Source organism: Homo sapiens, chromosome 18 (assembly GCF_000001405.40).
Source record: "Homo sapiens chromosome 18, GRCh38.p14 Primary Assembly".
In the NCBI taxonomy this organism is placed as follows: Eukaryota; Metazoa; Chordata; class Mammalia; order Primates; family Hominidae; genus Homo; species Homo sapiens.
The window spans coordinates 59,181,661-59,202,961 of NC_000018.10; the positions used below are offsets into that span (position 1 = coordinate 59,181,661).

The 21,301-nt window shown below is 43.1% G+C and overlaps 1 annotated feature.

Annotated features, from left to right (window-relative positions):
• Positions 6,811-8,010: an enhancer, noted in NCBI's record as "MED14-independent group 3 enhancer chr18:56855703-56856902 (GRCh37/hg19 assembly coordinates)". NCBI's record gives its function as "activates an origin of replication core promoter dependent on BRD2, BRD4, P300/CBP and CDK7 cofactors, and independent of MED14, by STARR-seq in HCT116 cells {active_cell/tissue: HCT116}" and the evidence as "EXISTENCE:reporter gene assay evidence [ECO:0000049][PMID:35650434]".

Consider the following 21,301-nt stretch of genomic DNA (forward strand, 5'->3'; position numbering starts at 1 on the left):
CTACTCAGGAGGCTGAGGCAGGAGAATCGCTTGAACCTGGGAGGCAGAGGTTGTGGTGAGCCGAGATCACGCCATTGCACTCCAGCCTGGGCAACAAAAGTGAAACTCTGTCTCAAAAAGTGAAAAAATAAAATGAATCCGTCTGGCACAGTGGCTCACCCCTGTAATCCTAGCGCTTTGGGAGGCCGAGGCGGGCAGATCACTTGAGGTCAGGAGTTTGAAACCAGCCTGGCCAACATGTTAAAATCCCATCTCTACTAAAAATACAAAAATATTAGCTGGGCGTGATGGCGGGTGCCTTAATCCCAGCTACTTGGGTGGCTGAGGCAGGAGAATTGCTTGAACCCAGGAGGCGGAGGTTGCAGTGAGCCAAGATTGCACCATTGCACTCCAGCCTGGGTGACAGAGTGAGAATCCATCTCCAAAAAAAAAAACAAATCTATCCATAACACCTCATTTTTACTGTCCAGTACCAAGGCGTTTTGGTGGTTTTCCTGTGTGAGCCTGCAAATTAATTATGGGTCAGCATGCACTAGAACACTACCTGGTTCCTGCAATATGCGAAAGTAAAACCTCCCCTGTGTGGGAATTTAAGTCGATCTTTGCTTGCTGAAAGGGTAGCAGTGACTTTAATAAACACCAACTCTTTTTTTTTTTTTTAAGAGATGGGGTCTCGCTCTGTTGTCCAGGCTGGAATGCTCATTGCCAGCCTCAAATTCGTGGGCTCAAGTGATCCCCCCACTCAGTACCTGTGACTACGGGCATGTGCCACCATGCCTGGCTAATTAAAAAAATTTTTTTTGTAAACACAAGGTCTGGCTTTGTTGCCCAGGCTGTCTTGAACTCCTGGTTTCACGTGATCCTCCTGCCTCGGCCTCCCAAAGTATTGGGATTGCGGGGGTGAGCCACCATGTCTGGCCCAAACTTTTTTAGACCAATGAATATCTTGCCAAAACGTGTAAATATTAAATAACATGAATTAATGAATGTAATCCTTTAATTTCCCAGTCTTACACAAAGCCTGGTGTCTTTAGCTATGACATTTAAGTAGCTGAAATCAAATATATAATTAAATTCTGCAAGAAAATAAAACGGAAACTCAGATACCTTGGAATAATTACACTGAAGATGTTAGCAATTCTCTGTCTTGTTATTATTGGAGTTGGCCCTTAGGAATGCTTTCCTCTGGCTGGGAATACCAGCTGCAAACATAAAATCTCACTTGGGACTACTCCTTCCCTTAAGGGTAATTTGTCCCAGCTGTAATGTGGGTAGCATTAGAGAAGTCAGGTTAAATTTTGCACAGAGGAGATTAAAGGCTCAGGATAGTGATATATAGGATATATATTTTGATGGAGGGTTGGGAAGATGTGGTATAAGTGCACTTGGAGTTGCTGCAATACCATCCTGAGTGCCTGGGGAGAGTACCAAAATGGGGAGGTGATTGGATGCTGGTGGCAAGAATAACGCTTTGAAGACATTCTGTCTCATAAGCGCCACCTCTGCACCAAACACTAGCAGATGCTGCCCTGCGGGGCTCTTGGTTATAACAGGCAGAGCTAGTCTGGGGTTCAGTTCCTGGGGAACTGCAGGGATTAAGAATGCTATGAGAGGCTGGGTATAGTGGCTCACACCTGTAACCCCAGCACTTTGGGAGGCCGAGGAAGGCAGATCACTTGAGGTCAGGAGTTTGAGACCAGCCTGGCCAACATGGCGAAAAGCTGTCTTTACTAAAAGTACAAAAATTAGCCAGGCATGGTGGTGTGCACCTGTAATCCCAGCTACTCAGGAGGCTGAGGCAGAAGAATCACTTGAACCGGGAGGTGGAGGTTGCAGTGAGCCGAGATGGTGCTACTGCTCTTTAGCCTGGGCGAGAGAGTGAGTGAGAGTCTGTCTCAAAAAATACAAAAATAAAAAATAAAAAGAAGAATGCTATGAGATAGGGAAATGGAACCAGGGTCTTGGACTGAATGCAAAGCAGGAGTAAGCTTCCCCCATGTGAATAAAAAGGCTGGAAAAAGCTGTAGCAAGAGTTGATTAAGGTTCTGTTTTTTTTCATAGCTGCATGCCCAAAAAGGAAGGTAGGAGGACATTAACACATCCTTTCTCACAGGACCTTCGCTACGCTGCTACCTGATTCTGTGTCTGGCTTTGCAGTATCTCAAGGCTTTTATAAAAGCTGGTTCTGGACTGTTTACTATGGGGACGTGGAGAGTCGGTGGGGACAGCAGCAAAGCCACCAGAGAAGCCTCCTAGAAAAGATGAAACTACAACCCAAAATTCGGAACTTGAACAGGAAAATAAATACCAGGAAGATCAATTTAATTAACTGACTCCCTTGGAAATTAAAATATTAATTAAAAGTTTAAAGGATTTTAAGTCATTATGTTTAAGATTGTTAAAGGCAAATGAAGGAAAACCAACTATAAAAATCAACATTAATTAGGCACAAATGGATGAAAAACAGGAGTGTATGAAAAACAAGGAATTTGAAATCTAGGAAATAAAAGTATGCTGATGATAATTAAAGACTCAAGGGATAGGATATACTAGACTAGATACAGGTGAAGAGATAACTAATACATTCAAGGTAACACTACGTAATGCTCCTGAGTGCAGGCCAGAGAAACGAAGAGACACAGAAAGAAAAAACAAGAAACAGGTAGACACAGAAGCTAGAGTGAGAGACTACAACATGCACCAATAAAGAGTCAAGAAAGTACAAAAGAGGAAATTCCAGAGAAGCATTATTTGAAGATCTTATTCCAGAATACTCCAGAACTGAATAAAGTCATGAACCCTCACCATAAAGATATTCTGTATGTACTGAGAAAAGTAAATAAAATTAAATCTTTACCTAGACATATCTGTGAAACTGAAGAACATCAATGATAGAAAAATCTTTGGAGTCATCAGGGAGAAATGACTTGTTACCTACAAAGTGGCATTTAGGTTAAAAGACGACTTCTTGGCCAGACACTGTGGCTCACGCCTGTAATCCCAGCACTTTGGGAGGCCGAGGCGGGTGGATTACGAGGTCGGGAGTTCGAGACCAGCCTGGCCAACATGGTGAAACCCTATCTCTACCAAAAATACAAAAATTAGCTGGACGTGGTGGCACGTGCCTGCAATTCTAGCTACTCGGGAGGCTGAGGCAGGAGAATGGCTTGAACCTGAGAGGCGGAGGTTGCCGTGAGCCGAGATCGTGCCACTGCACTCCAGCCTGAGCAAAAAGGGTGCAACTCCAACTAAAAAAAAAAAAAAAGACTTATCCACAACAGTCTATTCTAGAACTTCGTGAAGTGAAATTTTTACGGGCTGGAAAAATATCTGTTAGGGCTAGGGCCAGACATGGTGGCTCACACCTGTAATCCCAGCACTTTGGGAGGCCAAGGTGGGTGGATCAAAAGGTCAGGAGTTCAAGACCAGCCTGGCCAATATGGTGAACCCCCCCCGCCCGTCTCTACTAAAAATACAAAAATTAGCTGGGCATGGTGGCGTGCACCTGTAGTCCCAGCTACTGTGGAGGCTGAGGCAGGAGAATTGCTTGAACCCAGGAGGTGGAGGTTGCAGTGAGCTGAGATAGTGCCATTGCATTCCAGCCTGGGTGACAGAGTGAGATTCCTCTCAAAAAAAGAAAAAAAAAATCTGTTAATATGGAATTCTACCTAGCTTTACTATCGCACATGAGTAGGGACACACTGATGAGCTTTGTAGACAGAGGACGACTAAGGGCATTTTAATTAATTATTGAGTACTAAAAGATAAAAAATAATGAGCACAGTTTTGTGCATTTTATTTTCTTTAAAGATGAAGCTCTGGACAATAACAAGAAGAAACAGGCATGCATATGTCAGTTCCCCATTGAGTATAAGCTCCCTAAGAGACAGGAGTTTTGCTGTTCTCTGCTATCCCTTCACCTTCAATCCTTAGCACAGCCCCTATCACATAGGAGGTGTTTGGAAAGTATTTGTTGAATGAGTAAACGAATGAAGTAGGGTAGCAGCAGAGATTTAATGGGCAAGTATACCCAGGTATTTGTGTTGTTCTAGAAAGAACTAGAGATACTGATAAGCTTGACCCATTGTTAGAAATAAATAAGGTTAATGCTACAAGAATGAAATATCAATAAGAGCTTCTGAAACAGGAGAGGAAAACAAAGAGAACATAAAAATCTTTATTAGCCCAACAGAAAGCAGAGAAGAAAGAGAAGTAAAAAGTTGGTAAAGAGAAACCAGATGGTAGAAATAATTCAAATGCAACAGTAATCACAGTAGATATAAATTGAATCAGCCTACCTATTAAAGGACAGGGACCATCCAATTAGATTAACACAAAAGAGCAATGATGATAATTATAATGAACCAAGTCCAGAGAATTTCTAAAACAAAGTTACCAGTGAAAGATTAAAAAGAAAAGTTTTGGAAATGATATTCAAGGCACATATTTGTCAAAGGAAACTTTTACAATATTAATATCAAATAAATAGAATTTAATTTAAAAAGGTTACTAAGGATAAAGAAAGACACTACATCATATACAAAACAATGCATGCAGCCAACATAATCTTGTATGTATCTAACACACAACCCTGAAATATATCAAGTAAAAACTAAAAGAATTACGAGTAACAAAACCAGAGTGGAAAATTTTAACAACCTTTATCAGAGATTGCTAGATGGGCTAGGCTCAGTGGCTCATGGCTGTAATCCCAGCATTTTGGGAGGCCAAGGCGGGTGGATCACCTGAGTTCAGGAATTTGAGACCAGCCTGGTCAACACGGTGAAACCCCGACTCTACTAAAAATACAAAAAAAAAAAAAAAAAAAAAGTTAGCCGGGTGTGGTGGTGCATGCCTGTGATCCCAACTACTACTACTACTTGGGAGGCTGAGGCAAGAGAATCGTTTGAACCCGGGAGGCAGAGGTTGCAGTGAGCTGAGATCATGCCACTGCACTCCAGCCTGCACCACAGAGTGAGACTCCATGTCAAAAAAAGAAAAAAAATTAAAACGTCTATGGAAGATCTGTTCAAAGTGATGCATAATTAGAGAGATCTGCATCCAAAAAAACAAAAAAAAAAACAAAAAGAAAGAAAATATATACTCTTTTAAAGAACACCTGAAACATTAAGAAAAGGATTACATATCAGGACTCAATTTTCAAACAAGTTTCTATTATTACTATTGTTAAAGGAAATTAACTGGAAAATCAAGTAAAGATGTCCACATATTTGGAAACTGAAGCATGCACTCCTAAAGAACTCATGGCTTAAACATCATTCCATGATGGACAGGAAAAGATCATTAGAACTGATGGCAGTAGCAGACTCACATATGGTGAGCTACAATTGCAATATACACTGATGATACCTAGAGGTGAATTTATAGCCTTATACTTAATTTTTTTAAATTTTACTGTAAGTTCTGGGATACATGTGCTGAACGTGCAGGTTTAGTATATACGTATATATGTGCCATGGTGGTTTGCTGCACCTATAAACCTGCCATCTAGTTTTTAAGCTCCGCATGCGTTAGGTATTTGTCCTAATAGCCTCATACTTACATTAAGAAAATAAAGATGAAAAACATATGAATTCTTAAATTTAAGAATCTAGGAAAAGGACAGAAGAGAAGACCCAAAGAACATTGAAGAAACATAATAATAAAATTAAGAGAGAAAATTAATAAAATAGCAAACAAACAGTAGAGAAGGTCAAACAACATCCAAGTGGTTCTTTAAAAAGACACATAAAATAGAAAATATTTGGCAAGATTGAACAAAATTAACTGTATGACCAAAACAAAACTAGTAAGGGATGAAAACAGGTACAGCAGATTTTTGAAATCATTAGTAAATACCTGGATAATTTTAGGTAAAAAAGTGAATATACAGGGAAGAATGATAATTTCCTAGAAATATACAAATTATCAAAATTAACTTAAGAATAAAGAGAAAGTCTAAGTAAATAACAACAAAAATCATTTTAAAAATTAAATAACCAGACAAATACCTCTGCCCCCATAGATGCAGATCGTTTTATAAGTGCATTTTACATCATAGTCAGGAACCGATAATTTATATATTCTACAAACTTTTTCAGAAAATAGAAAAAGAGAATGAATTATTAGGTATAATAGTGAGAGAAGTCACTTCCACTCCTATCCCTTGATTCCTGGGCCCAAGAGTTCTGGATGTGGGAGAGACAGACCTAATATTAGTCTCTGATTCAAAGTTTATACATATCCTTTAAGATAGAACACCATACTTTCCAGGTGCCATATTCCAATTGGTGCTGTAACTTAGTCTTCAAGAAAACATTCAGGCTTTCCATCAGGCCAGTCATCTCTAAGTGGTAGGGTATGTAGCAAGAGTAGTTGGTTCCACAGGCATGAGCCCATTGCTCTGAAATGGGTTCCTCCATCAGAGGCAATGCTGTTCCATAATAGTGAATAAGGCATCTGTGAGCATGGTGTGACAGAAACGCAACAGGCCGAGAAGGCACATCCATATTCAGAACACTTGTTTGTTCAAGTTAGACAAATCCCTGCCCTCCCCATGATAGGAGAGGTCCAGTGTACCAATGAATGGCACGATATTGAGTCAATGTAGTCTCTGCTGTTAGAAGATGAAGCACTCATCAGGAGCATTAGCCAGATCAACCTTGGCAGAGGGAAGTCCGTATCATGAGCCTATGCAGAGCCTCCATACCTATTACCACAGCCACTTCGTTCATGGTCCCACTGAGTAAGCACTGGGGCAGCTAGGGAAAGAGGCAGACTGATATCCTCAGAGCCCATCACTTTGCAGATTATTTTGCAGAGGCTCCTCTGCAGTAGATGCCTGTATTAGCCTGTTCTCACACTGCTAATAAAGACATACTTGAGACTGGGTAATTTATAAAGGAAAGAGGTTTAAATGACTCACAGTTTCACATGGCTGGGGAGTCCTCACAATCATGGCTGAAGGCAAAGGAGGAGCAAAGTCATGTCTTGCATGGTGGCAGACGAGAGAGCGTGTGCAGGGGAACGGCCCTTTATAAAACCATCAGATCTCATGAGACTTATTCACTATTATGAGAACAGCACAGGAAAGACCTGACCCCATGATTCAATTACCTCCCACTGGGTCCCTCCCATGACACGTGGGAATTACGGGAGCTACAATTCAAGATAAGATTTGGGTGGGGACACAGCCAAACCATATCAATGCCCTTTGGTCAACATTCACGTGGGACACAAATATCTTCAGAATTTGTATCCACATATCTATTCTCCCAATTTCCTTGTCACCAATCGTTCAATATTATTTCCTAGTGATGCAGAATTTTTGCTCCTTAGTTCAGCTCAATCCAGGTTCTTATCTCACGACCAGGAAGAATTAGGCATGTGGACACATTGAAGGATGAGGAGGGCAGAATTTATTAAGTGAAAGGAAAGCTCCAAGCTAAGAGAGAGGTCCTGCAAGCAGGTTTCCACCTCACCAGGGCCACCACACACTAGCTGAAGAGGCCAGGCTCTGCCCCTGCATAAGGCGTGAATTCCTGGTGGCTCCACCCCATTACCCCAGTGCACATGTGGGCATGCCCAGGCAAGCCATAGATAGTATTGAAAAAGGCAACATTCAAGAGGCTAAAGGCATTATTCAGAAAGAATCAATCAGGAAAGGGTGGGCAAACAGGGGCAAAAGTCCTCCCTCTGGGTCATGGGTTTCATCTGGGACCAGCAGTCCAGTCTTTCAGCCTTCAGGCGGTTTTGGCTTGAAGGTGAGGTTTCATCGGGGACCCTTCCCTATCTGCCTAGGCATTTGTCTGCCTCTTGCCTCTATCACAAGTCCCTTACTATCCAGCCAGACTATTAGCAACTCCCCATGAATTAGTATATGTCTGGCCATCTCTTGTTCCAAATCTACTGGGCAACCAAATGTACCGCAAAATGGTTTTCCACTGGGAGGGTTTTCCTTACTGCTATCCTTCACAGTTGTCCCTGAGTGAGCCTGCAGTGCCTAAGCTGTCTGCTGTTGGGTGGTACCAGCCCACCATACAGACCCATCTGTAAATGGGCTTGAGGGTTTTTTTTTTTTCTCTTTGCTTAATTCATTATATGTCACTTCCCAGGAGACAACAGATGTAGATTGATGGAGAGGAGGAAATACAACAGTAAGTGTTGAAGGAATCACAGGTACCACCTCATGCCACTTACTTGTACTTTTCAGACCTGTTTGCACTTGGTCCCTCCTATACCATTTCCACTACATGACTGTTTGCTGTTGCACATGCTAACCGTTAAAGCTGATGAATCAGACAATATGTAGTTCATTACAGGAAGCTCAGGCCTAACCATGATTAAGTATTCAGTCTCTATCAAAGCAAAGCCAATAACAGGGCAAAACCTTGCTACTGAGAATGGTAGCTGCAGAAGAGGGCATAGATTTGCTTCTAAATCATTGAGGTCTGCACCATAATTGTCCTATTGGAGCCTGCCAGGTACTTTATATTATATTTCCATTTGCCATGGACACTTCTAGCATCATCAGATTTGCAGGATCATAAGACTCAAATGGTAGGGAAGATTGCATTGCAGCCAGAACATGCTGCAATGACTTTATTTTTTCTGGTCTCCACTCAAAACAAGCATCTTTGTGGGAGACTCTGTAGATTGGTCAAAGCAGCACACTCAAATGTGGTATGTGTTGCTTCTGAAACCCGAAAAGGATAATCAAGCATTATGCCTCTTTTTTTCATGGTAGATGGTGCAAAGTGCAGCAACTTATCCTTCATCTTGAAGGGAATAGCTTGACATGGCTCAAACCATTGAGCCCCCAGAATCATCACTAAGGTGGTGGTCCCTTGAAATGTGTGGGGTTTATTTCCCACCCTCTAGGTTCTATATGACTTACTAGGGTATCTAAAGTAACTGTCTACTTCCTGCTCATCAGATTCAATCAGAATAATGTCGACATAGTGTATGGGTGTGATGTTTTGTGGACTGTAGAGATGACCACGCTGTCTATGGACTGTATTAGGGCCAGAGGGCAGTAGAGTTGAAAAAGCCCTCAGGCAAGACTGTGAGGGTGAATTTTTGGCCCTGTCAGGTCAAAGCAAATTGCTTCTGGAGATCCTCATAATTTTGAATAGAGAAAAAGATTTCATCTAGGTCAATAGCTGCACACCACATCTGTTAATTTTCTCAAGTAAAATTATTAGGATGCATCTGGGATGGCAGGTGCAATTCGAGCTGCCACCTGATTAAGTTTATGGCAGTACCTAGTCATTCTCTAAGATCCATTCAGCTTCTACAGGCCAAACAGGTAACCTAACTGGGGATGTGATGGATATAATTACCTCTGCATCTTTCAAGTCTTTGATGGTGTAATTTTGTAGTTTTCTCAGGGATGTAATATCGTTTCTGGTTTACTACCTGTGTCAGGAAGGGAAGTTCCAAGGGCTTCCACTTAGCTTTTCCTGACATATTGGTTCTCATTCCATATGTCAGAGGGCCAATATGGGGATTCTCCCTGTTTCCAAGATGTCTTTTCTAATTTTACATTCAATAACTGGAGAAGTAACCACAGAGTGGTCTGTAGACTAACTAGGCCACTGTAAGTTGAACTTAAGCTAAGGCTCCAAATATTTCTTGATTTCTGAAGGCTCCCGCTCTTGTTTGTGGGACACAGTGGCATTTTCTGTCTCTAAGAATTAGAATTAATTCAGAGCCAGTTTCTAGCAATTCCCAAAAAAGTCCAGGTAGTTCCCTTTACCCAATGCACTGTTCTTCTAATAAATGGTCCCAAGTCTCTAGGGGGGGAAATTTGAGGAAGATTTATAATATGTGCATCAAACATTTGTATATGTATTTTATGTACTTTCATGTATGTTTGTACATATGTACTTCCTCAAAGAGCCCCAAGCTAGCTTCAATTAATGGATTGTGGGTCTGTTAATTGACTTATGTCTGGAAATTCAGTGAATAATCATGACTCTCCACTGTGGTGACTCAAGTCAGTTTTGGGGCTACCAGACTTAGAGTCTTCCTGTTACATACACCAAGAAGCACTCTAGTAGGCTGTTTTCTTCCCATGGACACTATGATCAATTAACCACCACTGAACATCTTTGAAAGTCTAGGAATTCTTATTACCAGTGCATCTCTGCATCCCTTTATAGTAGATGCACCCACCATGACTTTGGTGGTTAAATGTAGCCACTTATCCCCTTTCTTATCCTGCTTCTCTTACCCCCTTTGAAATCATGGAGCCTATCTCAATGGTGGTCTCCACCGCTGTCGTATCTGCTCTACAAAGAAGAGCAACCACGAAGCTCTTCAAGGATTCAGGTTCTCCCTTCACTTATGGATTTCTCAATGCTTTAGTTGAGGGAGTGTCTTCTGGGCCTTTTTGTGCAAGGTAGATGGGGGTGATTAGGATGCAAATTGCCTATGATAAATCCAGTCCAACATTCCTAACTACAATGTGACAGACACTCATCCCACCAAGAGCTCAGGTCTATATTTCCTCCCTTGAATCTGAGTGAGCAGTTGGAACCACACTGACCAACAGAGTAGAGAGGAAGTAATGCTATGTCTCTCTCTCTTTCTCTCTCTGCCTGTCTCTCTCTCTCTCTCCTCTCTCTGTTGGACTGCCTGCTCTGGGATAAGCCAGTTACCATGCCACGAGGACACTCAAACAACCCTGTGGAGAGGTCCATGTGAAAAGAAACTAAAACTTAACTGCCGACAGCTAATACCAGCTTTCCAGCCCTGTGAGTGAGCTGCCTGGGAAATGGCTCCTGTAGCCCATGTGAAGCCTTCAAATGGCTGCAGCCCCAGCCAGCATCTGATTACAACTTTACAGAGACCTCAAGCCACAGTGGCTCACTCAAGATGCTCTTGAATTCCCAACCCACAGAAATCAGGAGAAAAAACTATTATTATTATTAAACTATTATTTTAAGCCATTATGTTTTAGGGTGATTTATTACACAGCAATAGATAACTAATACATATACCTTACTTATGAATACGTACATGTATAATAAAAATAGAGAAAAACATGCCTGGATGTTTTTATATCAGGATAGTTATTACTTGTAGACATAGAAAGGTGGGGTGGGATTGGGGAAGGGTCCAAAATAAGCTTCAGAGGCAACAGCAATATATTTTTTTAAAGACCTAAAGCAAATATGACACAAAGTAAGATTTGTTAAGTCTGTATAGTATGTGCATGATATATAATCATATACAATATTATTCTGTGCTTTTCTGTATGTTTAAAAAACTAAATTAAAACAGTAGTGGGGGTGGGGGGACTAAAAAGGACTTTTGTATAGATCACAATTTTGCCTAAGGTTAAGTCTGCCCCAAGTTCTCAATGGCCATTGACACCACACTTAATCTGTCTAGGCTTTAGCTTTTCAGTGGAAATCTCAGGAGACCTCAAGCTTTCTATTTTTGCTATAGAGAATGTGGCAGAAGAATGTCCCCAAATTGCTTGGCAATCCTCCTAGAAGCAGAGCTGTGGGGGTTATTTTCTAGAGCCATGTATACACTGAAGGCGCTGTTCATAGCCCTCTACGGGACTGCTTTTGTAGGTTTTATCTTTGTGAGTGAAAACATATATGAGGGACTTAAAGGAACATCATATTATGGATCATAGAGGGTTTTGTTGTTGTTGTTGTTGTTGTTTGTTTTTGAGACGGAGTCACTGTGTTGCCCAGGCTGGAGTGCAGTGGTGCGATCTTGGCTCACTGCAACCTCTACACCCTAGGTTCAAGCAATTCTCCTGACTCAGCCTCCCGGGTACCTGGGATTACAGGCATGCGCCACTATGCCCAGCTAATTTTTGCATTTTTAGTAGAGATGGGGTTTCGCCATGTTGGCCAGGCTGGTCTCGAACCGATGACCTCAGGTGATCCCCCACCCCCACCTCAGCCTCCCAAAGTGCTAGGATTACAGGTGTGAACCACCGCGCCCAGCCACAGAGCTTTAAAGTGGAACTCCTGTTCATCCTTTCTCTCATGGCAGGGATGTCTTTTACAATGTCCCTGACGGGTGGTGAATCAAGCCCTGCTTTAACACCTGATGGTGACAGGTGCTCATTCCATGGGGCAGTGTGTTCTGCAGATGGGTGTGGAAGGTGCTCAGCTCCTGCTGAGAGAAGCCCTGGTGGCTCTCACTCACTGCTTTTAGCTTCTAAAGCAACACATTAGAAGTCTACTCACTTCTACATGACAGCCCTTCAAATCAATGTTTGGAAACAACAATCTGGTCCTTCTTCAGACATCCCCGCTCCTGGTAAAACATCCTCAGCTCTTTCAAAAAGAAAAGACTCTGGCAATTCTTGAACACCTGTTATACATGGCCTGGTGCTTACACAGGGTTTTATATAATCTTCAAATTTTCTGTGATTATCTACAGAACAGATAGAGAAACGGAGGCCCAGGGCACGTGAGTGACTTCACCTAAGGTTAGAAGGCTGGAAAAGCAGCAAAGCCACATAACGAAGACTGACTGAGCCCACGGACCTTCTGCTACTCTGTGGGGCTTTTGAAACATGGAGGCTCATGGGACACCGAAGCCCTCCCTGCCTTCTTCACTTCCTCCATGTTCTGCCACACAACTCCTAAGATGTGATGCTGAGAAATGGACATGATATGATGCTTTTTAACATTACTTTAAAGGCAAAAACTGCAATTACTATTGCACCAATTTAATATTTTAGTTTATTTGTTCTTCTTTCCAACCCTTTGAGATATGCAGCAAAGGCATTAGAGGACTGGGCGCGGTGGTTCACGCCTGTAATTTCAGCACTTTGGGAGGCCGAGGAGGGTGGGTCACCCGGGGTCAGGAGTTCAAGACCAGACTGGCCAACATGGTGAAACCCCATCTTTACTAAAAAAATACAAAAATTAGCTGGGTGTGGTGGTGCGTGCCTGTAATCCCAGCTACTTGGGAGGCTGAGGCAGGAGAATCACTCAAACCTGGGAGGCAGAAGTTGCAGTGAGCCGAGATCACGCCACTGCACTCCAGCTGGGAGACAGAGCAAGGCTCTGTCTCAAAAAAAAAAAAAAAAAGAAGTCACATACAACAGACTAGGAAACTGAGGCTCGGTGTGATGGATTGCCTAAAGAAACCAACCGACCCTTCGGTAAAGGATTGGGATGTAAACCCACATCTTCACACTCCACATCAGTCTTTTCCATTGCACTAAGACCACAATAATCCGGAATCTCATCAGCATGAAGAACTGGTTCCATGTGAATCAATCTGGATTTAAGTATTAATTAACACAGCCTAAAATGACTTTAGCCTCTTTGGCAATCATATGACACTATTGCCTTATACAGTTAGAAAGTACTCTCCCTACCCCCAAATCTCTTTTTTTATTTGTTTGTTTTACAAAAACTGCTGTGACATCATATCTTCTCCTTGTGCCACGGAGTTGCATTGATCCTTATCAAACTCCCTCTTCCTTCCCTCGAAATGTGCCCAATCCCACAGCTCCAGCTAGGTCAGGGGGTATTTTGAACTATCCCTGTGTCACCCAATATAGTATCAACTCCCATAAGAACTAGACCACTCATACTTTTTATTTTTATTTTTTTGAGACAGAGTTTTACTCCTGTCACCCAGGTTGGAGTACAGTGGTGTGATCTTGGCTCACTGCAACCTCTGCCTCCCAGGTTCAAGTGATACTCCTGCCTTGGCCTCCCATGTAGCTGGGACTACAGGCGCCCACCACCACACCTGGCTAATTTTTGTATATATTTTTTTTTGTAGAGATGGAGTTTTGCCATGTTGTCCAGGCTGTTCTCGAACTCCTGACCTCAAGTGATCTGCCTGCCTCAGCCTCCCAAAGTGCTGGGATTACAGGCACGAGCCACTTTTGCTATGCACGTGCTTGTTCTCATCATGGAGCTATTGATCACACTGCTGGAAAGCACAGCACTGAGGATGGAGCCCTAGGGCACAGATTCCAAGTACAGTTTCCTGAGGAAATATGATGGCAGAGTATATGTTCAGATGCCACCATTGCATCTTGACTGTGACAACCATGGGTGTGTAGAGAGGGAGCAGCGTGAGTGTCACCGCCACTCCCCCAACCCACCCCGAGATATACCCCCTCCATCCAGCAGCGGGAGGCTGATGAATTTGGAAGGAGAGAGACACATGTGGAGACATCTCCCACATCCTCCTGACATAAAATCATTATTCTATTTCATTACAGACCATGCTCAAGGTCACCATGAAGGTCATTCAGTGCCACTGCTTTTCCCCACCTCTGCCTCACCGGTAGACTTCAAGTTGCTTGGAAAAATCCTATCCCAGCTTCCTCATTTTGGAGCTTCCTCTTAACTGAAGTAGACCACCCCCCACCAAGCCAACACACACACACACAGACACACACACACACAGCTTGACTCTTTCTAATTACTTAGTACCCTCTCCTTTTCCTGTTACCATTTTCTCCCAAACAGATGGTGTTTATAGACAGAAAAGAAATGGGAGTTATTCAGCTGCAAGGCTGGTAATTGATACCCAGAAATCTACCCTCCAAAGACACCAGCAGAGGGGGGCTCTCATGGATGCAGCAACTAAAATGGCTTGGAGCAGAGACCGACTCACCTGGCCTGGGCCGTGTCCAAGGGGCAGGACAACAACTTAGTGTGCTAGAAGCCAGCTAGTGAGGTGTGTGTTCCTGGCTGGCTTTTTCCTGCTTCCCTTTGAACTTCCAGGGCTGTATGTGTGAGCTTTATGTTCATGCAGCCGGCAGCAAACAGAGACCTGCTTTTCCCTGAGCTGGTTGGCAGCCACACTGCCAGCAGCTATTTGCTGAGTTTCTGCTTGATTCCTGTACTCTACTCTCCACTTGTTGCTGTGGGAGACCCAAGAGAAATGCAAAGGCTCTTAGGGTGATGAGCAGGCTGTGCTGTCAGGGCACTCTGCCCTTTCAGAAATGCCCTAGCCAAAGGGATTTGAAGATAGGACAGGAGGCAGAGAGGGAATGAAGGGGAGAGAGTGTGTTTGTATATTAGGAACTATAGGAATAATCGTTAAATGTGGAATATCTCACACACACACACACACACACACACACATTTGGTACCCAGGAATCTTGGGGACAGATGGAAAGGAGGTTTGGGTTTAAGGTGGGAGAAGAGTTCAATTTCTGAACCAGTTGCCAGGGGAGTTCTAATGGTGGAGTCCGAAAGTGGGTAGAAAGTATGGGGTGGCTTAGGGGTCCCGGGCACTGAGAAGGGTCATGAAAAGAATCACAGGTTCCCCCGTCATCCCAGGACGAGGGCTTTCCTAGTCATAGACAGCTTCTTTGTGGGGCAGGGGTCTGTCTGCAAGAGGTTCTGGCAATGCATGGGATTTTGAGGCATCTCCCAAACCTTAGCCACTAACAGTTTCAGGGACCTCTTTATGCCACTAACAATTTCAGGGATTTCTTTCCTTTTCCCATAAAAAGATAATCTCTTTCTGGGCCAATGCCTAAAATGTGTGCAGCAAAGGGAAATATTTTTAAACCATAATTATACCCAAATCAAAAACTTTATGCATAATACACTCAAAAAACCATAATGAAATAAGGCCTAAAGTGCAACAGGTTAAACTGAGGGGGAAGATACCAAGTGGAGGTTTGGAGTATAGGCTTTGAAATTAGGTGGGGCCTGAGATCTGTCCCAGCTCTTCTGTTGGCTTCTTAAGAGGTTTCCATCACTCTCAGACCCTCATCTTCTTAATCTGTAAATTGGGGACTGAGATCTACACCTTCCTTATAGGGGTCTTTTAAGGATTAAAAGAGCGATTGTCTTTTATGCAGTCATGTCAATAAACAGCAGCTATTATGAGTCCATCCATGCAAATATGTTTTACTTTAGGTGTGAAAGGTTCATTGATCAACATATAAATGATAGGATTTCTACTTATGTAAGAGAACAAGCAAAGAGAACATGAGGACAGTGAGAGGATCAAAGGGAGAGAAAGAAGAGGAAAGAAAAGACAGGAGCAAAAACAACGAAGGCTGGGCTGAAGACAAGGGACAGCACAGGTTTATGATCTTGGCCAGAACCAGCTTTTGGTTCCCAGGAGCAGGTGGAAGACTTTGATTACACTCAGCAAGGGATTATCATCCTGCCAGTTACTGAAGCAGATAGCTTGGCTTTAAACTGTTTCTGTGCTTATTTGGCTTGGGCAAAGAAATCTTCTTGCCAGGTCAATTGCTAATTAAATAGCCTCCAGATTGAGACTTGGTCTCTGCCCTTGAGCCATATACAGTCTGGATGAGGAGATTAAGTACCAGTGAACAGAAGATGATGACCACCTGAACTTCGAAGGGGCCAGAACAAGCATTGGAAGCAGGGCCCAGGGCTGGGCTGGCCAAGGGGACCACCTGGAGGCATGGTACTTTGGGCTGAGCCTTGAATAGTAGGTTGTGCACAACCAGAACCAGTGGAAAGGAAATTCCTGGCAGGCAGAATAGCAAAAGGATAAAAGAGGAAGACTAGCTTCCCTGGAATGAAGGACTTGTGGCCAAAGGTGGCAGGGGGCTGGTCAGTTCCAAATGAGGCCACAGGTAGGGAAGGTTCTATTGTGTGCAGCTCAAAGACTCAGGTTCCCAGGGAGGTATGTCGATTTCCTGACGATGGGGCAGAATCGATGGTAGGGAAGGGCGGGAAGGTCAAAGTAGGGTATCCAAGCAGAGGGAACCATCTCAGAAAATGCAAGGCAAGCAGAACATGCTGGGGGTGGGGGAATGTGGCAGGGGGCCAACCATGTGACAGCCGCACCTGAGTTAGGGAAGATCCTCAATTTGGGGAAGTGGCGAGTTGGGTGGGAGGTTTCCTGCTTGCTCATTTCTTGTTTAAGGGACAACAAATTCTACTACAAATAAAAATACAACTTAATCTAATGTTCCATAGAAAGTACAAACTTTTGGGAAATCAGGCAACAGGTCTACACATGCAGAAGGAAAAAGATTTCAAGCCGGTATGTTTTTAACTCAATTTTCTAGATTTGCCTCAGTTGCATCAAGCATGTGTAGACAGCCATGTCCTCTAGTGCCTGATTCAAGTTATTTTCAGACTTTATCAGCACTGTCCTTGGAAGTCACTGTAGCCTCCATGTTATAAGCTGAATGATGATAAATAAGTGGCAATTTTCTTCTTTCATTCTTGTCATTCCCATACATACTACTTTAATGGCAAAGCAATGAGATTACTGGCATAAATGCCTTCCTGTCCCCAAGCTCATCCCTGGATCATTTTGCCTGAGGTTGAAAAGCAAAACAAACCAAATCAGTAAAGCATCTTCTTTCAAATAAGGGGATATTCCTTGGTATTCAAACTATATTTTTCAATTGTTCAAAATCGGTTTATTTGGTTTCTGTAGAATACAAGAAAGTTAAAAGGTGATTTTAGGGGCTCAAATGAAAGAACAACTTCATTGTTAATTCAACCTGTTTTGTTAGGATATTTATGCCTCAAATAAAGAATAAAGAATAAAAACTCAACACAATGGGAGAATTAGAATCTGAATTGTGATAAAATTCATGCCTGTATTTATCAATTATGAAAGTGATTGGGATACCCTCTAGCCTGAGCTGAAGCCAGGCTTATCAAACCCACTCTGTTCATGAGGATTAACTATTAACTTTAATTCAAAAATATCAGTACACACAGGTACTCCAGAGAGCCTTCCCAGCTGCAATAGACCCAACACACTAATTTACTAACAGTCATTAACCAGTCTGAGAAGTCAGTACGTGGTGACAGACCAAATATTTCATGCAAAAGTGAAACAAGTGAGATGCCACCAAGTGCAGTCACACAGCACTATTTTAAAGGTGACCTCTGGGAAATTTAGAAATGATCAGCAAAATTCTAAATGTGCACATATTTAGACAGAGCAATTTCATTTTTAGGACTATGGCATGCAGAGATACTCACTAACATGTACAAAGATCATGTATAAGAATGCTCATGGCCAGGCGCTATGGCTCATGCCTGTAATCCCAGCATTTTGAGAGGCCAAGGAGGGAAGATCACTTGAGATCACTTGAGCCCAGGAGTTCGAGACCAGCCTGGGCAACATAGTGAGACCTCATCTCTCCAGAAAATAAACAAAATTAGCTGGGCGTGGTGGTGTGCACCTGTGGTCCCATCTACTCAGGAGGCTGAGGAGGGAGGACCACTTGAGTCCTGGAGGTTGAGGCTGCAGTGAGCTGTGATTGCTCCACACCACTCCAGCCTGGGCAACAGAGCGAGACCCCATCTCTTAAAAGAAAAAAGAAGAAGAATGTTCATCACAATCAAAACATTGTAATACAAAGAAGTGGGCAATAATTTAGATAACCATCCACAGGGGACAGGTTAAATAAATGATAATACCTTCATACAAAGGAATACTATTCCTTCAAAAGAGTAAGGCAGGTTTATGTGTAGTGGTGGGAAAGCATCCTTAGCATATTGTTTAGTGAACAGAGCAAGCTTCAGAGTATAATGTGATCTCAGCTGGGTGTGGTGGCTCACATCTGTAATCCCAGCAATTTGGGAGACCGAGGTGGGCAGATCACCTGAGGCCAGGAGTTCAAGACCAGTCTGGCCAACATGGTGAAACCCCATCTCTACTAAAAATACAAAAATTAGCTGGGTGTTGTAGCCCGTGCATGCAATCCCAGCTACTCGGGAGGCTGAGGTGAGAGAATTGCTTGAACCTGGAAGGCAGAGGTTGCAGTGAGCCAAGATTGTGCCACTGCACTCTAGTCTGGGCAACAGAGTAAGACTCTGTTTCAAAAAAAAAAAAAAAGAATAGAATGTGATCTGACTTGAAAGAGGAAAAAATAAAAGCTTCCACACATGTCATTGTGGATAAGAGCAGGTCCTCTGTGGTCAGACTGTGGGGGTTTGAGTCCTGGCTCTGCTACTTACTAGCTGGTCACCATGGAAATGTGAAAGAGGCCTTGGTATCCACTTCTGTAAAATGGAAATAATAAGAGTATCTGCCTCATTGGCATGTGATAGGCTTTCAGAAAATACCAGACAAACTGTTAGTAATGATCAACTCTAGGGTGTCGGACATGAAGGAATGGGGAACTTTAATTTTTACCATATTCCCTTTCAGACTATATTTTTTATAGGAATGTTTAAACCGTCTTTTGAAAAGATGTTGTCTCAAAACTAGAAGCCATCTATTAACAGGTAACTACTCTTGGCACACCCTCAGTGTGATTGATGAGGATTAATGAAGGGTGAAGATATTTGTCAGTCCAACTGGGCCCATAAGACGCCTTGAGATTCTCCTCCCAGTAGAGGGAGGCCTTGGTCCACAAGGAAGTCATGTCCACTCACAACTGCAAACCTCTAGGCACGAATGACTCCATCCAACCTCCCCACACTAAGAAACCTGACCAAACTCTAGGATGGCTTCTATCAGCCCAAGACTGTGAGCCCAGTCCCTCTTAAAGTGCCTGCCTGAGAAGTCTCAAATACTGCCTAAAGAATTTGTTCCAGCTAAAACAACTATAGGCCCCTGCCCTCCTTTTGCTTAGAGCAGTTACTTTAGAAAACTTACAATTATAAATCCTTTCTCTGCCACTTTGAGATGTAAATCTCCTTCCACCCAGAATCTCCTTCCACCCAGAGGACCTGGGAACCATGGCTTTGAAATGCAAACATCTAGGGACATAGCTCCCTTGTCTCCCGGTCTCTGTGGGAGGGTAACAGACCAAATTCAGTGGGTGCCTTGCTCCAATTTGCAAAACTACCTCCTGCCATAAAGATATGAGATATTTGTTTCTCCTCCAGATAAGCACTAATTAACAAACACAGATGGCTAATCACATTGACCACCCCGCCGCCCCACTTTTACATTCTTCAGTACTTTTCCTTTAGCACAATCCAACCTACGGTTTAAAAAGCCTAGGCTGGGTACAGTGGCTGATGCCTGTAATCCCATCACTTTGGGATCCCAGGGCAGGAGGATCACTTGAGGCCAGGAGTTCAAGACCAGCCTGGGCAACACAGTGAGATCCCATCTCTCCAAAAACTAAATAAATAGTCTCCCATCTGTTATTTCAGTGGAGTTGAGTTTGGTTCTATACTAAAGTCCCTCTCTCCCCTGCTGGAGTAGACTGAATAAAATCAATCTTGCCACCTCTAACAGCTGTCCTGCTGTTTCTCTTTGACACCACTGATGAAGGAGGACTTGGTCCCTGGGAAGGCCAGGACCATGGAGGAGGATTTGGCATCTACCCAAGTGGTATTTACATTTACTAAACCTCTGCCTCCCTGTAAATACCAGGAGAAGAAGAGGGCAGAGGTGCTCATTATGCAAAAGACAACTGAAACGTGCAAGAGGGACTTTTCCTTCATATGAATGATAGGAAATCTTATTTATTGAGTACTTTGTAATGTACTGAGAAATATGCTAAGCTCTTAGTATACAGCATTTTATTGAATCCTTAGAACAACTTTCCAAGGTAGGTGTCATTATTTTCTTGGAATTCATACTTCAGAAAGATTAAGAAACTTGCTCCAGGTCACACATAAGCTCATAAGTAGCAAACCTAGGAGTCAAACTCCAGAGTCCCCGTTCTCCAGAAGCTTTAGTGTGACCTGGATAAAAAGCCTTGTAGCTGTGCAAATGAAGTACAGCTGAAATTTGTTGTTTATCTTAGAAAGTTTTCTTTCCATGGAAAGTAACTACATCTTAGTATATGGCACTAGTAATGGCATTACTAAAACAATAAGAATGACACACAGCTCTGTGGTGAAACACTCAGCTTTATTTTTCCCCAAGCTGGGTTTCAGGCCACTGAAATGGGTGACCATAGTACAGATCACAGAACCTTGCCTTCTTTTCTTCCTAGTGAGATGGCCAGGTGGGAGGGGGTCCCTGGCAAAACTCCAGCTGGCTTGCACAGTGGGGTGGAGCCTCCAGAAGCTCATGCCATTTGCAGTGGGTAAGAGCCTGGCCCCTCCTCTTCCTGCATAGAACCTGGGATTCAATCTGTAAGGTGGGAAGTGCAGCAGCAGAGAACTCTGGCCTTGCAGAGAGTCCCTGTTCCCACTTACTTTCCTTTTCACCAAATAAAACCCTGCTTTACTCATGCATCAAATTGTCTGTGAGCCTACATTTTTGTGGCCATGGGACAAGAACACCATCTTTAGCTGAGCTAAGGAAAAGTCCTGCAACATTTTTGGCACCCAACGTGGGGCTTGAGAAGTGGTGAGTGAGATGCAAACCAAGAATTCTTTTCCCCTCTCTCTTTGGAGCCTTTTCATCCTAGGAGTTCTGAGCTTAT